The 19,898-nt window shown below is 38.8% G+C and overlaps 2 long non-coding RNA genes across 5 annotated transcripts in view; one reads left to right on the forward strand and one right to left on the reverse strand.

The window, feature by feature from the left end:
* LOC102724861 (uncharacterized) overlaps positions 1–19,898 on the forward strand; it is a 168,179-nt gene that overhangs the window by 101,142 nt on the left and 47,139 nt on the right. Inside the window, exons 3-4 of one of the 4 annotated variants that reach the window (NR_187737.1) lie at positions 18,031–18,096; positions 19,634–19,711. The exons of the other annotated variants lie outside the window; for them this stretch is intronic. This is a non-coding gene — a long non-coding RNA (uncharacterized LOC102724861). The remainder of the gene's footprint in view (positions 1–18,030; positions 18,097–19,633; positions 19,712–19,898) is intronic. 4 annotated transcript variants of the gene reach the window in all.
* The window catches only part of LINC00607 (long intergenic non-protein coding RNA 607), a 231,974-nt gene that overhangs the window by 35,787 nt on the left and 176,289 nt on the right, over positions 1–19,898 (reverse strand). The window lies entirely within an intron of this gene.

Consider the following 19,898-nt stretch of genomic DNA (forward strand, 5'->3'; position numbering starts at 1 on the left):
CTGGAGTGATGCGGCTACAGGCCAAGGAGCCTGAAGGATGCTGGCAGACACAGAAGCTAGAAGAGTAAGGCAGGATTCTCTCTTAGAGACTTCAGAGAACACATGGACCTGCCCACACCTTGATTTCAGACTTGCGGTCTCTAGAACTGTAAGATACGAACCATCTGTTGTGTTGAGCTGCCTAATTTGTGGTGCTTTGTCACAGCATCCCTAGGAAATTAATACTCTGTTGAACAAAAATCAAACCAGTAACCCAAATATTTTCCTTCATCCATATCAAATGAAACAAGGCCCAGGTTGTTTTGGAGAAAGTTTTCCAAGACCTTTAATAAACAGATAATTCCTGTGAGAAACTACCCAACTCATTTTGTCTTTAATGACTTTCACGTAAAAACTGACCACAGGCCAGGAGCGGTGGCTCATGCCTGTAATCCCAGCACTTTGGGAGGCCGAGGTGGGTGTATCATGAGGTCAGGAGTTCGAGACCAGCCCGGCCAATATGGTGAAACCCCATCTCTACTAAAAATACAAAAATAGCTGGGAGTGGTGACGCACGCCTATAATCCCAGCTACTCGGGAGGCTGAGGCAGGAGAATTGCTTGAACCCAGGAGGCGGAGGTTGCAGTGAGCCAAGATCGCAACATTGCACTCCAGCCTGGGCAACAAGAGCAAAATTCCATCTCAAAAAAACAAAACAAAAACAAACAAACAAACAAAAAAAACTGACCACAAACAGCATACACACACAAAATCTATGGAACAATCTCATACATAAGCATAGATTTTTAAGTTGGCTGGTCGCAGGGGCTCATGCCTGTAATCCTAGCACTTTGCAAGGCCGAGGCAGGCAGATCACTTGAGGTCAGGAGTTCGAGATCAGCCTGGAGAACATGGTGAAATCCCGTCTCTACTAAGAACACAAAAATTAGCTGGGCATGGTGGCACATGCCTGTAATCCCAGCTACTTAGGAGGCTGAGGCACTTGAGCCGGGGAGGTGGAGGTAACAGTGAGCCAAGATTATGCCACTGCACTCCAACCTGGGTGACAGAGCGAGACTTTGTCTCAAAAGAAGAAAAAAGATTTAAAAATATCTAAATATCATGTTAATTGTCATGTAAAATAAATGCATCAGTGTATTTTAAAATATCATTATGACAAAGAGAAGTTTATTCCAGAAGTGATAAAATAGCTTACTAGCTGAAACTCTAGGTATGTATCAACTACAGTAACAGATTAAAGGAAAGGAAAGACATTTTGTGATTATCTCAATTGGAGGGGAAAAATGATTTGGTAACATTAAGAACTTGTTTATAATTTTTTAAAAAATGCTCAGCAAACAAAGAACAAAGAAAAATTTCCTTTATTTAAGAAATGGAATTATCTAAACATTATAGCTAACATATATAAAGGTGAAACTTCAGGGACATTTCACAGAACTCAGAAATAAAACAAAAACAATGCCTGCTCTCACCTCTACCAATAAACATGGTCCCAGACAAAACAATACAAGGCCCATGTTGAACTTCCTTGTTGAGAATTGCAACTTTTTCTCATCCCACCCTCTACACCCCAAACCATACTAATCAGCTCTGTATTTTCTTATGGCAATTTACAACATCTAACATGCTATATAATGTGCTTATTAGGTTAATTGTAAAAATTGTCTTAAATTCCCTCACTAGAATGTAAGTTCCTCCAGGACAGGGATCTTCGTTTTGATTATTGCTGTATCCTAAGTACCTACAACAATGCTCAATAAGTATCTGTTGTTGAAGGAGTTGTCGATTTATACAAAAGGAGATATGATTTAGCAATGAAAACAAATGAACTAGAGATGATACATAGATGTCGAGCTTAAAGAAAAGAAAATGTGGTGTATAAAAAACTGCATGTGAAATAGTGCTCCTGGTACAATACTTTTTGTATAAAGTTCAAAAGCACATAAAACAAAACTTAATATTGTTTATAGATTTTAAAAAAATATGTGTGGTAAAAATATAAAGATACAAAGGAAGGATATTCAATGTCAGGACAGAATTGTCTCTAAGGAGGAAGAGAGAGGAATGGAACCAGTAAGGGTGATGAAGGGGCTTCAACTGTATCTGCCATGTTTTATTTATTTTTATTTTATATATTTTTTATTTCAATAGTTTTTAGGATAAAAGTGGTTTTTGGTTACCCGGATAAATTTTAGAGTGGGGAAGCCTGAGATTTTAGTGCACCCATTATCCCAGTAGAACACATTGTACCTAATACGTAGTTTTTAAATCCCTCACTCACCTCTCATCCTTCCTCTTCTGAGTCTCCAGTGTCCATTATACCATGCTGTATGCCTTTGCAAATTCATAGCTTAGCTCCCACTTAGAAGTGAGAACACATGATTTTTGGTTTTCTCTTCCTGAGTTACTTCCCTTAGAATAATGGCCTCCAGCTCCATCCAAGTTGCTGCTAAAGACATTATTTCATTCTTTTTTATGGCTGAGTAGTATTCCATGATGTGTGTGTGTGTGTGTGTGTGTGTGTGTGTGTGTGTATAAATGTATGCACATGTACATAAAATTATGTTATATATGCATATATTACATACATAAAACTTAATATATACATATATAACTTAACTTATATATGTTGTTTTATGTGCTTTTGTTATATATTATATATATTTGTTTTAGGTGCTTTTTGTTATATATATACACACATACACGTATATTAAGTTTTGTTTTATGTGCTTTTGAACTTTATACAAAAGGCATTGTACCAGGAGCACTATATCACATGCAGTTTTTTATACACAACATTATTATTTTCTTCATCCATTCATGGGTTGATGGTACTTATGTTGCTCTTGGTTCTGTATATTTGCAATTGTAAGTTGTGCTGTGATAAACATATGTGTGCAGGTGTCTTTTTGATATAATGACTTCTTTTCCTTTGGGTAGGTACCCAGCCATGGATTTTGCTGGATCCAATGGTAGATCTACTTTTAGTTCTTTAAGAAATCTCCATACTGTGCCGCATTTTATTTTTAAAAGGATAATCTGGGTTGTGGTTACTTTGGTGTTCATTATATTATTCTTGGAACTTTTCTCAGTGTTTAAAATACTTCATGCTCTGTTATTAAAAGGAGCATCTCAGAAACTCTACTTTCAAGCAAGATATATCCTACAATCTTAATAATTTTTTGATATCTCACATCACCATCACAGCTTCTTTAAAACTAAAATTATTTAAGAAATGTATACATGTAATTGAATATACCCAGCTTTTTTTAAGTGAATACTCAACTCTTTATAACATTTGTCAAGATAACACTTCGTTAAATGTTTAGTAGTATTCTTTATGACAGAGTGGTTTTGCTTTCGCCTTCATTAAAATTTTCTTTCTGGGTCAAGGTGTCTTATTAACTAGGAGAAATTCATCTCTATTGAATCTTTCCTTCAAAACAAAAATGCTTAAGTGATTCCTTAGGAGGTCTGGTGTTTTGTTTTGTTTTTTTAAAGTTGATTTTTCTTCTTTCTTTAAATCTGGTCAACCTGGGAACAAAATCAATTGTTAACTATTTATGCAGAATTTAGAATGTATTTTTAGTCCCTTTTTTTTTTTTTTTTTTTTGAGCCGGAGTCTCGCTGTCGCCCAGGCTGGAGTGCAGTGGCGCGATCTCGGCTCACTGCAGGCTCCGCCCCGCGGGATTCACGCCATTCTCCTGCCTCAGCTTCCTGAGTAGCTGGGACTACAGGCGCCCACCGGGCGCGGTGGCTCACGCCTGTAATCCCAGCACTTTGGGAGGCCGAGGTGGGCAGATCACGAAGTCAGGAGATCGAGACCATCCTGGCTAACACAGTATTTTTAGTCCTTTGCTGATGAATAGAACTGCAAAAAATATGAATCCGTGTTTCTCATGACATTTTCTTTCCTTCCCTTGTTGACTTAGTCAACAATCTTTGAGGTCTAACCGGCTAGCGGTGTAAAACTGCTGTTCTACCAGCTCAACGGTGGACTGTTTTTATTATTCCTTCTCATGACTTTCACATCATTATGTCTCCATGATATATAATATCCAGTAGATCTAAATATATAAAGAAAGAAAGGAAAGAGGGAAGGAAGAAAGGAAGGAGGAAGGAAGGCAGGAAAGGAAGGGAGGAAGGGAGGAAGGAAGGGAGGGAGGGAGGGAAGGAGGAAGGAAGGAGGGAAAGGAAGGAGGGAAAGGAAAAGTAAGTGAAGGGAAAGAAAGAATGAGAGACCTGAAATTATCCCTGATTTTAACCTCTGGACTTTCCTCATCAGTATTCAGAGTGCGAACTGTCATTGGTATTAGTCAGTTTTCCGAGATTACTTCTTTCTAGTTATCTTCTTTGGCCTCCAGATTTGCCAACCTCAAATTTCTTTCTCTGGTGCTGGCTTCTCTTTCCACCAGTGAACGATCATCTCAGGTTCTCATGGAATCCCGCCAGATTCCTCTGCTTTGTCTATACCTTTCTCATGCTTCTTTCTTCTTTAGCAAAAGGTAATAAATAGCCAAGACCATCATCATAGGCTGCATTGATCTCCTCACATCATTTCCTCTTCCTCGCTCATAAGGCAGAGTCTTCTGTAATAATACCCTATTACTTGTGTTTCTCCACCATATCCTCTTTAGTTCAAACGTCTCCTGAAGCCCCCTGATTGAATTCTTCAGTTCCCTGGTCCCTTTAAGAACAGGACCTCCCGTTTCAAGTCAACATCAAGTCCCTTTTGTATTCCACCTTCTGAACCCAGTATTCTGCTCAGCCCTCACTGATCTCTCAGATCATAGACTCAATGGAACGGGACCTCTAGCGTGAGGTCTACAAATGGATAGGGACATTATCTGAGTCTCCCTTCTGGTAGAAGTCAGTTTTCTGTTATACAGTCAAAACATAAAGGTCGGAAATCTTGCATTGGTATTTATGGATTTTGAATGTGTGTGTTACCAAAGACACTAATTTGTAACCCGAAACGATGTTCACAAATGTCTGACGCCTCATATACTTATAATCTAAACAGGTAATAAGGAAGTATTAAACAGCACATAAGTATGAGGCAAAGGAGACTATTTCTGTGTATCAGCCTTATGACCTGAGTCTGATTCCCATTGGTTCTTCTTAAATTCTCCTTCAGGCATCCTGTGCTACATAAAACACTCCATCTGAACAGTCATGCTAGCTGGCCAAGGCAGTGGGTGAGAAACGCCAGCTGCATGCCTCATGTGATCTGTTATGTTATATGGTAAGTTACTTGGAAAGAGCAAGCATTCCATTATGCCAACAAGGGAATAAAGCTGACCTGTCCTGAGTGACTTCAGTGTAGACTCCACTGGACAATTCACGAAGATGATGTAACCAAAAGCAGCTCATTAATCTCATCCTAAGTCTTAAATTCCAAGTCACAGTAAATTAGATTTAAATGAGTTTCCACTGAACAAAGCTAGAGAATAACATTTTACGGTGTATAGAACATTTTATTACTTCAGAATTTGTTGCATTGAGCTAACAGAAAACTGACTTTTTAAAAAAATAATTACATGAGCTCTTGATTGCTCTTACATGGACCACAGCTGAGTTTCAAACTTAGTAAAAAGAATTTGAATCCCCTTTAATGCACAGGTACAGACTACTAGTTAGGAAAGTTATTTGTATATAGTACTGTATTTTAGCAGATTGAAAGTCCATCCCTTAAAACTTCAGACCAGTGCTGTTTAGTAGAACTTTCTGCATTGATGGAAATGTTCTAATATTTATGTTGTCTGATAAAGTAGCCACTAGACACATGTAGTTATTACCACTTAAAATGTAGCTAGTGTGACTGTGGTATTGTCTTTTATATCATTTAATATTAATTTAAGATCGTTTTAATGTCAATAGCCACACTGGCTAGTGGCTACCATATTGGACAGAGCAACGCAGGACCACATATTGCAATGCTAACTGAAATAAATGAGGTTTCAGTCATTGTTTCATTATTAATAGTGGTAATATAGTAATATAACTGAGAATGTGAATATCACAGTAGCATTTACAGACAATTTCACTATAACCATTGGCTTCTCTAAGCAACACTCTGAGGTCAATAGGATAAGTATTATTATCATCTCCATTACACTTGAGGAAATGGATGCTCTAAGACATACTGGTGATTTAAATGACCTGTGACTCAAACTACTTGTTCTTTCTAATGCAAGAGAAACCTGTGAAAGAATGTTGTGACGTTCATGCAGCTTACCAGTAGGCTGACCTGAAATAGACTTCAGAAATGTGGGCAGGGAGAGAGAAGCAGGGAGAAGGAGGAGAGAGAATATAAAACTACACGCCGACACCGGACATTTTTGCAAATAAAAAAGCTAGGTCAACTTTTGCAGAAGCATGTTCTAATGCTGTCAAAGCTAACTTCATGAGCTTCCAACATGGGTGGGGCCCAACATAAGATCCACACACTATTGCTTTTATCAGTGCTCTGCAAGCCATAGAGTTTTTCCTTGTTTATTCTTTCTGCTTCTCCTTTCTCTCACTCTCTCTGCTTTCCATTGTCTCTACCCCTCCTTTTCTCTGTGTCATATGATCTCAAGTCACTTTCCTACATTAAAATGTTATATAATTCTTACATAACAATCTAATAAACTATTGGTAACAGTAAGAGGTTTTCCTTGTCTTAGGAAAATGTGCTGAACTAAGAAAAAAAATCATCTTCTTTAAAAAATTAGCATAATGAAATATATTAAATTGAATATGTGTGGTGGATGATAGCTTAGAAAAAAATGAGTTGCACATCCTGGTGTGTAGTCAGTTTGCAGACTGATTAATGAAGACCCTATAAGCCTGTTTGTGTGATAAGCCTGTGCAGTGGGCACTCTGCTAGAGAGACAGGACCCATGTCACCGAGAAAGACCCCAGTACTGCTGAATAGCTTATATTTTATACATTTACATTGGAAAGGCAAACGTTTAAATTGGCCCGTCTAAAACCTAACCCTGTGGTTTCGTGGATACTAGATAATTGAAAACAGAACTTCAGTGCACTAAGTCCACCTCTTCTGGGCTCTTGGCCATAACATGCTCCAATCGGAAAACACTTGTTTTAAAAGAAGTCTCTTACACAAAAGCGGGATAAAAAGAGAGACGGAGAGGAAGGAAAATTGTCTTCAGTATATTATAGCAAACATACTTGTCACTTGATAAAATACCATTTGCTCAGGTTGCTCTTCTGTGAATAACATTACAACTATCCAAATAATAGTCAAGGCTCCTAAACCATCCAGCCAGCTTTTGCAAACAGCAGAGGAAGAAAGCCACCTGAGCTTGCAGAACTGGTGCCACTAAGTGCCAATCCCCACAAGTGAACACAAGTTCATGAACTTAGGGATCCTGGTTGAAGAAAGTTGCTGCTGCAGTCAAACAATAACATCAGCAAGGATTGATTTTAACTCAGATGAGTAGTATGCACTATCAACAATATAAAGGTTGTTAAATGTTAAAAAAAAAAAGTAGTCAGAAAGTAGTAGGCAGAAAGATTTTAAAAAGAATATCTACTAATGTAGGAGTGGAAAGGTGTACCACCTTCTTCACCCTTCATAAGGGTAGTGGTCAATATCCTATAACATAAAACAGGTTAACAAGAGAAAATCATAACAAATTTATTTAATTAAAAATTTTTATGTAATATGGGAGCTTTGGGAAGAAGATCTAAAGATACAGAGAAAACTATTCATGTTTATGCTTAGGTTTGATGGACAGTCCTGTAGAAATGTGATTGGACAGAGGATATGGTCTAACCCAGCAGGGCCTGCCCGTTCAGCTTCTTCTTGGCCTCTCTGTGTAGCATTTCTTCCTCCTGGGTCTGACAGGACCCCTCTGGAATGAGGGTCTTTAAGGGGGAAGGGAGAAGGAAGAGAGTGACCTTGCTAGGTTTTATGACTTGCTTTGGGGAAGATTTCTAGTTTCTATGATGTGCCTTAGGGGAAAGGAATTCCAGCTTCTGTGACTTGCTTTGAGGAGAATTTGGGCAAGAAACAGGAGGGTGGGTGAGGGACAGAAAGGCCTTGTGGCTAAGGCCTTTCCAATCTCCTTCAGTTCAATCTTCTTCCGTTCAGTATTCAACATGTCAAGGCACCGTGCTTTGGGGTATTATGTCCTGAGCCCCAACGTAAGATGTTTACACTTTTGATTGTAAATGCCAGCAAAACAAAACTTCATGAAATATGTAAATATCATGTGTGCTATTTCAGAGATGGAGACAGAAATCAACTTAAAAATTGTCAGATATATTGCAATATAGAATTACTTCTCTTTTCTGTTATTTATTTTAAAGAAATATTTTTGTATGTTATTTTACTGATTTTATTTCCATAAAAACATGGAAACTTCAATGTTTTCATATTTTGCAGAGTTTCATTTGGGTATTTTTAATGGCATGTGAGAGAGAGAGAGAAAGAAAGAGAGAGAGAGAGAAAATTAACACACTGCATTGGAATTCTTTTTATATTCTTCCCCAAACTCTTTTCCTCTCTCCTTCACCAGGTGTAATTATAACGAAATGGGTATTCTTCATTTGACATTTTAAGTTTTTAAACTAAATATATACATAGCCATAACACAGATAGTAGTATCATGGTATTTTATGTTATTTTTTTAGAGACAAGATCTCTCTGTCTGTCACCCAGGCTGAAGTGCAGTGGTGCAGTCATAGCTCATTGCAGACTTGAAATCCTGGGCTCAATGGATCCTCCTGCCTCACTCACCCTCTCTGGTAGCTGAGACTAAAACCTCACAACACCACACCAGACTAATCATTTTTATTTTTTGTAGAGACAGGGTCTTGCCCTGTTGCCCAGTCTGGTCTTGAACTCATGGCTTCAAGTGATCCTCCCACCTAGGCCTCCCAAAGCTCAGATTACAGGTGTGAGCCACTGGCTATAAAACACCACACAGCCTACTGGGGTATTCTAAACTTGACGTCATATTGTATTTATCCTTCTGCAACTTGATTTTTGTTGCTCTGTTTTTATATTTGGTGAATGTATTCACCTTGATAATGTAACTCTAGTTCATCCCTTTTAATTACTGGTATAAGTGAGCCATAATTTCTTGAATCATTCTCCTGTTGATGGACATTCAGGCTATTTGGATTTTTATTTTTGTTACTGCTAAGAGTGCCACAGTGAACATCCCTACATATATTCTTGCATACATTGAAAGGGTGTCTCTCCTAGTGCCTCAAATTGCTGGATTCTAGGGTGTGAACATCTTTAGCTTTACCAGATCTAGATACTGCTAAATGCCATCCAAAGTGTTTATCTGGAATTCTTCATACCTGTCCCTTTACAGACCACTCAACACAGTGGCCGTAGTGACCCTCTTACAACATGTCACATCATGTTACCCTTTGCTTGAAACCTTGAAATGCCTCCCCACCCTATTTCACTCAAAACAGCTACAGGGCCCTAACTGACCTCACCCTAGCGCTGCCCTTGTTACCTCTTATGTCCCCTCTCTTTCTGCTCCTCAAATACTCCAAGCATTCTCTCTGCTTAGGGTCTTTCTTCCAGCAGTTTGCTCTGCCTCACATGCTGTTCTCTCAGACCCCACTTGGCAAAATCTTTCGCCTTCCTTGAGTTTCTGTTTAAATCTCACTTTAACAATGAGCCTTGCCATGACTACCCTCCCCGCATGCTCAATTGATGTTTTCTTGCTTGAATGTGTTTCTTTCGCAGTACCAGTACCTTATAATGCATTATGTAGTTTGTCAGATTTATTGCCTAGTGTCTCACCCATCTAGACTGTCAGATCCATGAGGGCAGAGATCTTTGCCTGGTGTGCTCATCGATGTATCTGGATACCTACAATGGAATCTGATGCATGGTAAGCATTCGACCAGTGTCTGAGAGAGGTGACTTTTGTACCTTTGTGATTTCACATTATGCTTTGCAGGGTATTATCCAAAAGAACATATGATATTTTGATTGGTAATACATGAGGACTATGATTTGAAAAAAGACTAAAATTCAGCCCCCTAAGGGTAGGGCCTGGATATGTGTTCACCACTCTATTCTTTGTGCCAAGAACAGTGCCTGGCACATAGCAGATGTTCAATAAATGTCAAATGAATGAATGGATGAATGAATGAACAGAGATTTTTTGAGAAGGTTACTTGATAGTTTGGAAGTGAATTATACTGGAAGATGAGTTGGTTCAAAGGTTTGTGATTCAGGCATGCCCATCAGACAAAGCAAGCAGGTGGTAACTCCCTATTTTAAGTTTACCTGTTGGGCCATAAATTTCCCTGTTTGAAATCTTTTACTCTTTACAGTTTCCCTATTGTTGGGGAGTAAAATGATGGAAATTTGTTCAATTGAACATACCCTTTTAGAATGTTTCTCATATTTGCCTCATGATTAGAATCTCTCAGGTGAGTCTGTTAAAAATACAGATTCATGGACCTAATTCTTAAATCAGAAACTCTGGGAGAAAATTCTGAGAACAAACCCAAGAAACTGTTATGAAACTGTTATAGTCAAGTGAGTTAGGAAAACAATAGGATCCTTGACAGAACAAAGAACAACAGCGTGCCTGAAATGTCAACAGGAGGAAAGAGCGCCTGTTATAAACTGTGTTTTAAATAATGTCAGAATAGCTGCTAAACGGCAGAACCACATTCTGCATTTGAACTGAGTCTTTCCTCTTGCCTACCTAACATGGTCATCAGGGTCTTAGGGAATTTGGGGGTGACTCACAACCTTGTGTTTATGAATTAGTCATTGAAAACACAACCAGAAGAAGGCAGGCCGTCCTCAGCTATTCCTGAGATCCTGATAGTTTCCATCTCATGAGTTGAAGAAGCAGACAGTGGGAAGTAACGTTCTGGGCTAATCAGCAAAAGAGAAAAGAAATATTATGAAACACAAGGAGAAAGAAAAAATTATTTTATTATTCCAGGTTCATTTTATCTTTCTCCTAATGTAGAAGTCTTTCTTTATATGGGAGTCACTTGGTAAAAGTAATTCATCTATTTAATGTATTCTTCCAGATAGTGACATGTGTATCTATAATATAATAGATAGTGACATGTGTATCTACAGCCTTTAAAATGTAATGTTTATTCAAGAGGAAGGGGAATTTATCGAACTCTTCAGTATGTTTCTATTCCATTGAAGTTGCTGGTAAATCTGGTTAGTGGCTGTACTTTTGGTACTTCAGATTTCAAACATTTGTATTTCAACTCATCATTCCGGAGTATTTCCAATAGAAGACATTTAATTAAAACTTATGGTAAAGTACAGAAAGGGAATTTGGTGAGAAAGAGACCTATAATTTGATCAAATGAAAACTCTCTCCATTTTTAAATTTGGCATACATTTTAGACACTCACGTGTTTTGTTTCTCATTTTGGCAACTGAGTTGAATTTGGCTGCTGGGGTGAGAGGGAAAGGGGTAGATTAGAGACCCTGTGGGATGTCACAAGTCTTTGCCAAAATCAGCACATATTTATTAAGCGGTGGGCATGAAGCTCCCCATCTGTTAGTTTTCTCAAAGTGCTGACAAGAACATTCCGATTTCCAGCTTGAATGCTTTTTTAAAAAAATTTCTTTTCTCAAAAAAAAAAAAAAAAATTTCTTTTCTCCATTTACTCTGACCAAAGGGCTGTGTTAGTGTTCAAAGATAAATGGAAAATGATGCTTGAATTTTCTAATTTGTCATTGTAAGTAATGGAACCACCCAACACCTCACACTTATGGATATTTTTGCCAGCTTGCAAAATATAGGTGAGAGCCACCCAATTCTACCTCCTTTTAGAATTGGGTGGCTCTCATCCAATGAGGAGCTAACATAATTAGCCTTTTATTGCTCCTCATCTCCCTGTTATGGGAGAAGATCAGACTCTGCTATAAACAGACAGATACCCCTAAGGTCTCCAGCAAAGGAAGTCGAAAGGGGAGACCTTTAGATCTGTTGCTTGCTTCCTTTCACATGGAAAATGTACAACTTTACTTTCAGAAATTAAATATTTGGGTACAATAGGGCAGGCCAGGGCATGATTTCATTTTGATTCATTTTAGGGCTACATCAGTTAACTCCCTTTATGTTATCTCACTAGTTCTGCTTCTCTCCTCTACCCATACCCATTTTCATCCTAGCAGCTTGCTGGTGCAAGCTCATTGGTCTCAGAAAGTCTCCCTCAACCTCTCAGATAGTGCCTGTGGAATCCTATAATTCTCCTTCATAAAGTTTTGCACAGTTCTAATTGTTTAGTAATTTTTTGTAATAACTTTTTAAATATCTGTGATAGAATTCTAAGATGGCTCGTAAGATTCCCATCCCCTGCTATACAAGCGCTGTATAATCAATCCCCTCCCTTTGATGGGTATGACCTGAAATCGGATGGAATGTCACTCCATGATTACACACCATTATGTGGTAAAGATGAAGGCATTTTGCAGATGTAATTAAGGCTCCTAATCAGTTTCCCTGAGTTAACCAAAGGGATATTATCCTTGGTGGGCCTGACCTAATCAGGTGAGCCTTTAAAGCGGGGCCTAGATGTTCCCTGAAGTCAGAGACACTCTCCTGCTAGCCTTGAAAAGCAAGCTGGCATGAGTTTTATAGCTGTAAGGAGAATTTCTGCCAGCAAGCAAAGTTCTTGTCAAGGAAGTTCTTCAAACTCCCTAGTTTGGAGGAAAACTCAATGCCTCCAATGAGACAGCAGTCCTGGTCACTGCCTGTTCTCATCCTCCCCAGGCCCTGGCCCGAGGACCCAGTTAGGCTATGTCCAGAATTCTGTTCTACAGAACCGTGAGATCATAAATGTGGATTGGTTTAAGCCACTAAGATTGAGGTAATTTGTGACATAGCAATTGAAAACTTGAACAATACTTCTCCTCCACATGAAGGCAGGGTCTATGTCTCTTATTCACTGTGTGCCCAGTGATTACCACATTATCTGACATTGAAAAACTCACTAAGTATTCACCAAAAGAAAGACTGATTGACCTTAATTAGTGGGCAGGTTCAATAGATTGGGAGTCAGCAAGTATACATCAAATTTTCAAGAAAAATTTCATGAGAATAAAATAATCACCCAGCATGAATGAGCCTGGCTCTCACTTTCTAAGTCACTATCCTGCCCAAGGAAAGGGACCAGGTTCAAACAGAGATAAAGGGCCTTTAATAAATCTTCTTCAGATTTGTATCTGCTTTTGGGTGAGTCTGATGAATTTTAAATTTTTCTCCAAAACCTTTCTGAATTGACTGAACCTTTTGAATAGTAACATACCTTCCCACTACCACCCACCACCACCCCTGGCAGACTACCTGTTCTGCCTCATTGGACTCTGCTGCCTGCTGGGGAAGGTCTGGACCATGGACGCCGGGCAAGTCATCCAAGCAAAGCCCAGTGAAGTTCCAGGATGGGCTCGTGACTCAATAAGAGGCAGTGTTTCTCCCTGAATCAGCCCCAGCATGGCCACATCTGAAGGAAGCATGGTTGCGAGCTCAGCCACTGCCTGGCTGCCTGTGGACACATGGATCCTGCACTGTCTCGGATGAGAGGACACCGTCTGCTGATTCACTTGCACCTGGGGTTTCGTGGGTGGACATCTGGAAAGGGCCTCTCTTGCTAGCTCAAGTTTTATTTATCTAAAATGATCTTTTAAAAATCATTTTACGTGTCTTCAAAGTGTCTGGACATGGTGTGGAATGTGGTTTATTCTGTCCACATGGCAGCAGGCTCTGTGTTGTAACTTGCTGAGATTTTAGGTCTGCCATCAGTATGCAGACTGACACCAGCTTTTACTGAGTAGCAATGTAGAGCCCTTGGGAAAAACAGGAGAAATGAAATAGGAGAAACTATTGTGCCAGATGAAGCTCATATTCAGGTGACCTAAATGCACCTTTCTGGGAATACACAAGGCACTATGTCTGAAGGGTCGATTCAAGATCAAAATATGCATTCAAGTGGATGGTTTGAAATGAGATTTGTTTGAGATAGCTAAAATTTGTCTTCTGTGCTTAATACTTTACAAAAAGTTTTATATACAATAGGTCCTGCATCTCACAACACACTGTGAGGTAGGGAGGATATGTAATCTTAGCCCTGTTTTCTGTATGAGGGATGAGATAAGTGCCAGGATGTTATGGGAAGAGACCTGGAACCAGGTTTGGGTGTCAGCTCTGCCATTTGTTGGGAAAATTAACCTTTAGGAGCTTCTAGTTATCCACCTACAGAATGCAGTCAACAATCCCTCCCTAGCAAGGTTATTGCTAGGATAATCAGAATGTGTGTATGAAAGCATCGAGGATTTTGACCCGTGATAAAATGCCCAGTTAATTTTCTTGAATCTAAGGCCCAGAGATGTTTAGGAATTTGTTGAGGGGACTTAGCTTGTAAGGGAAGGACCTGGGACCCAAACCAGGTCTTTGATTCTGAATTCTTTTGCCAGCCTCCAGAACTTTGATCTATTAAAGCCTTTTAAATGAATAAGGTTCACCCATGACAGTTATATTCCCCATGGACTGAGGACCCTTTAATAAGTCTTTGATTTTCTGTTTCTTTGTTACTGACGTCCCTCTCTCCAGTCCCTTCTCTACTTCAGCCAATCTTAAATACCACTTTTCCAGAAATCTCTTTCCAGATGTTGAAGATATATCATGAAATGAAAGAAGCAGGTTCAAAAAATACATGTAATAGGAATTATGCCGTTCTTATTAAAGACAAATTAGGTAATTATAGGCGGAAAAAAGATATGAGATCTACAGGAACATATTAACAGTGGCTGTGTTGAGTGGGGAGATTAGAAGCAATTTTTATTATAATTTCTGCTTTTTTAGAGTCCCCAAGCTTTCTACAATAAATATACATTGTTTTAGTAATAGGGGAAGAAGTTTCTCATTCTCTTTAAATGTCTCTAAACTCTCCCGTGAACAAAGTCAGACCTTTTGTCTCCAGCTGGGTGTAAGTTACCAGCTGCTGTGTCCTTGACCTGTACATTCACTGCATCCCTTTCAACCCATATTCTTCTACATTAATCCATAGGCTCTAAGAACCTAAAGCTTTCTAAACAACTCAAGTCATGGAAACAGCTGTCGGCTCCTTCAGTATAGGTGCCAAATCCTTCCCAGAGTTAAAGTAATAATTCGGATGCCCACCTCTAAATACAAGAACTCCTGACATGTAAGGCATCCTTCCTAACTAAGCCCTTCAGTATTTGTCCACTCTCTTTCACCAATGTCCACTTACAAATTATGCATCATTTTTTTCCGCCTCCTGGATTGCAGACTCCCTGAAGGAAGGAATTGATATGTCCATTTTCTATAAATCTCAAGAAGATCACGTGTTTCTTTCTGAGCATCTAAATGTGTTTATGAACTGTGTGGGTAAATTATGCCTTGGCAAATTAGCAGATTGAAAGTGTTGAATCTCTACATGCCCAGACTTGTAAATTTTGCCACTATTAACTTTTAATACATGTTTTAACTTTTTTTTTTCCTCTTCAAAACTTGGGGTAGTATTTCTCACTGACGACTTCCTTAAGCCAAATTTAACATTTTATAGCTCCAACTGTTTTGGAAGTCAGACAGCCAGACAGTCAAATGCATTAGAAAAAGGCATTCCCAGATTTTCTTTTTCTGTGTCATGTTTATTCCCCTCAAAAGCAGTTGAAAGATGTTTCTCTCCAAGGTTTTCAAAGATCATCTATTCTGTGGATGGCAACTTCACACTCTCAAAGGTGTCCACTATAAAAAGGGAAAAGGAGAGATGTATCGTGAAACTGTCTGGTTAACCCAATATTTGTCACTTTAACTGCTTCTGATGATGCTTTCACTGTGAAACAACACAAAAGGAAGAGTAAAACAGTTGAGACAAGGGGAAGAAATAGCAACTGCCTTAAGTGTCTACCAATTTTACAGGGTCAGCAATGGCCTCTAATTAGAGTTAGCACTGAATCAGCCAGGCATGGTGGCTCACGCCTGTAATCCCAGCACTTTGGGAGGCCGAGGTGAGTGGATCACCTGAGGTCAGGAGTTCGAGACCAGCCTGGCCAACGTGGCGAAACCCTGTCTCCACTAAAAATACAAAAATTAGCCAGGCATCGTGGCGTGTGCCTGTAATCCCAGCTACTTGGGAGACTGGGGCAGGAGAATCGCTTGAACCTGGGAGGCAGAAGTTGCAGTGAGCCAAGATCGCACCACTGTATACCAGCCTGGGCAACACAGCAAAACTCTGGCTAAAAAAAAAAAAAAAAAAATTAGACTTAGCACTGAGTCACGCTTCTTGAGAAGCCCCAGAACAGAGTTCCTATCATAGAGAACCAGAGGGGAGTCTACCCCCAGCACCGAAGATGTATTCCAAACCTTCTAGCAGGGTCCCATGTGAGGTACAGGACTCGGTGAGAGGAGGGGGGCCTGCCTGAGACAAGTGGGGTAGGTAGTCACCTAGAAGACATGTTTTAAGGAAACAAAGACCCATTCACCTACAGATCTGTCTACCACGAGCCTGTCAAATCCAGTTAGAGCCAATCCTTTGGATTAAAAAATATTGGCTCAAACTGGCCTTTTCAATTAGAGGCATGGAAACACACTATGACCTAACTGTCTTTTAAAATCTTAGCACCAACAATTCATTAAGTGTATATCTTTGACTCAGCCACCCATCAAGACTTTGAGACAACACACAGAACACATCATCTTTGGTGGAAGTTGGAAGAGTAAAACACTGCTTGAGATGAAGATGTCAGGGTTGAAAGAAGGCACCAAATAAACAAGAAGTCTTATCAGTGGAGATAGCAAGAAAGCCTGGAAAAGATGGTGCCAAACTGGAAAATATGGTGCTAAAGAGGACAGGAATGGGAATACCAAAGACAAACCTTACTTAGCCATCAGTTTGTCTGCATCAGTACTGTAGAGAGGCTACTAAGGGGGACTATTACAGAAGGAAAACAGTCTGAAAGAGATTATTATAGAGGGAAAGAACTTGAGGAAATTGAAGGATTCTCACACTTTGGAAAAAGTAAATTCTCCTACTCTGGTCCTATTTAATCCACTGTGTGTGTATGTGTGTGTGTGTGTGTGAGAGAGAGAGAGAGAGACAGAGCGATAATTCTTGGAAGCAAACCCTCTCTTTTCTCACCCTGAATTCCATGTTATCACTATTTTACACTGAGTTAGGAGGATCTTCTGCCCACACATTTGTATTATTGCTTTTCTTTTAAGTATCTTAATTCTATAGTAAAATTTGCCATAAAATATTCATAGATGGATGGGCCTAGCTCTTTAGCCATAGGTCCAGCAGGACTTACTTACATTAAATGTACCATGATATTCTAGATGTTTTAGATTATATATCAGAGAGTCAAGTGAAAAATCAGAAAGTGTTTTATGTCTATACAGAATCTTAATGATGTCTTTTTTTTTAAAGTATTATAGGAAGTGTGTTGGAAAAATATTTTGAAAACAGTAGATTTGAAAGCCCCATTTTGCTCACTTTACTCAAGTATCTGCCTCCTTAAGGTTCTAAGATTTGCCATCATCAATTAGCTGTGCAAACCATGCTGACAAAATCCCTTTTAGAATAGTTTCTTTCACCACCAACTTGCTTCAGAGCCTCACAAAATGACTCATCTAAATGAGACGGGTCCTCTGGCCCAAAGGGAACAGCTAAGTGACTGACTAATGTTTTACACTTGGGAGAGAACAGGAAATTAGCTGCATGTTTACTGTGAGGAGACACTGAAGAATTGTAAGGAAGTACCTTTAAATACTTGAGTCCCCAAAAATGTTGCTTCACCATTTGCCTAAATGTTGCTTTTAAGTTGGAAGTGTCTCAGTTTCTAAGTGAGGGTTGGATGGTGTTACTATAAGGCACACAAAATTAACTAATAAAAGTCATTTCAGTTTCAACATTAAAAAAAATGAAAGTCCAAAGTTCCTGGATGAAAGAAAGGAGGCCTCAATTACATTATGACATATTTTACTTTTGTCTCTCTGGTGAGATAGAGTACAATTAACAAGATTCTCTTTCAATTTACAGTTAAGCCAGACATCTAAAACCAAGATGACGATGAAACTTTTCAAGTTGACACATCTTACGAGTTTTGTATGGATTTCAGTGAAATTTTTTCAATGAATTTTTTGAAAGATTGCATGCTTGCCACAAGTTCTACAGTTCATAGGACTGATAGTGTTCTAACCTTTCTTGCCTGCTACAAAATTCCCATGGTCCATACTCTCTCAACCACTGTATAGCTACCATTTATAACCAAAAAAAAGTCACTTTCTAGGTACAGTGTTTTCATAACTTCAGACTTAACCAGATGATCTAGACAAATTATTTTTTTAAAAAAATATTCAGTGAAACCCCTACTAAAAAATACGAAAAATTAGCTGGGCGCGGTGGCGGGTGCCTGTAGTCCCAGCTACTCGGGAGGCTGAGGCAGGAGAATGGCATGAACCCAGGAGGCGGAGCCTGCAGTGAGCCGAGATAGGGCCACTGCAGTCCCGCCTGGGTGAAAAAGCGAGACTCTGTCTCAAAAAAATAAATAAATAAAATATTACACAGTTCTTTTTTATTGATTTTGGTGGGAAGATTTCTACCGTTGATTGTATTGTGTTAGTCTTTTCATCAAAGGACATTTCATTTTCTTTGTCTACCTATTCAGCACTTCCTCATGAAACACTTCACTGCACAGGAATAATAAGTGTTGTCTATTGACTAATGTCAACAGCCAACCCTTCATTATCTTTCCTATTGGGGAAAGAGAAAATATGATTAAATTGAATCTGCTGTTTATCCCAAATTACACTTTTGCTGAGATTTTTTAACATTCTTTGCCACCAAACCTGATGATAACATGCGAAAATTGATCTTTTTTTTTCACCTCTCCCCTGTCCTTTTCTTTGAAGATTCACTGTAAAGAATTTTGTAGACTGTGGACAAATACTGAAATGCCAAAAGCATGTAACCTTTTAGATTAGACCAACAAACAATCACAGACATCATCACATTGGCTTTATCTCATTAGTGTAAATCTATTAAAACAACCACTGAAAGCTACTGTTGCTTTAGATGGATGCTTAGGAGCTAAATTATTTGCTCTATTCACAAGAAGGATTGTCTCCAAAATCCTCCTTAGTTTTGAATAGGAAAGTAGACCCTCATGTCTCTGCAGATTGTCTACACACAATGCACTGGGTCAAGAGTCAAGGATGGCCCTGTCTATTTTTAATTTAGAATAAATGCACAACCAGTTTAGCAAAATGAAATTTGTACTTTTAGTTCTCTATTTTCAGATTTTTCATATGCTGAATGATTTAAGACTTCCATTTGTGCATTCACCTAAAATAAGAGAAAGCTCTCAGCAAAATTTTGAGTAAATAAGTATCTTTAGTATATTCTGTTTTCCTTCTTACTTCCCTTCCCAAGGATCACCCTTATCACCTTTCCAAAATAACAGTCCATCAAGTCAACCCACTATAAACTGAACACCAAACATTCTTCAAAGTTGACCTTTCCTTCATCCCATTCTCCTAGAATTCCGTTAGCTAAGTAATGCAATCTGATACACTATTGTTTTCTAGGGTAACAATGGTTTAATAAATTATTCCTCATAGATGATATATTTGCATTCCAACAGAAATTCTTATTACCTTAAACCCATATTTTCCACACTGTATCTTTGAAGAAAAAGAAGGACATCCTGAAGGCTATTCTGGTGAGTTTCTGACACTTTGAGAAACTGATAATGGAAATACGTCAGGGTTAGGAAAACCTAACATAGTGGACAACAATGCTCAACCTGCCATTTTATTTTTACTGAAATAAAGTGCCAAAGATCACTCAGTGAAAGGGGCACATCATGTGATATAATTCCAGATAGATAGTTCTATTTTCACTCTCAT

The sequence above is a fragment of the Homo sapiens genome, chromosome 2 (assembly GCF_000001405.40).
Source record: "Homo sapiens chromosome 2, GRCh38.p14 Primary Assembly".
NCBI classification, from domain to species: domain Eukaryota; kingdom Metazoa; phylum Chordata; class Mammalia; order Primates; family Hominidae; genus Homo; species Homo sapiens.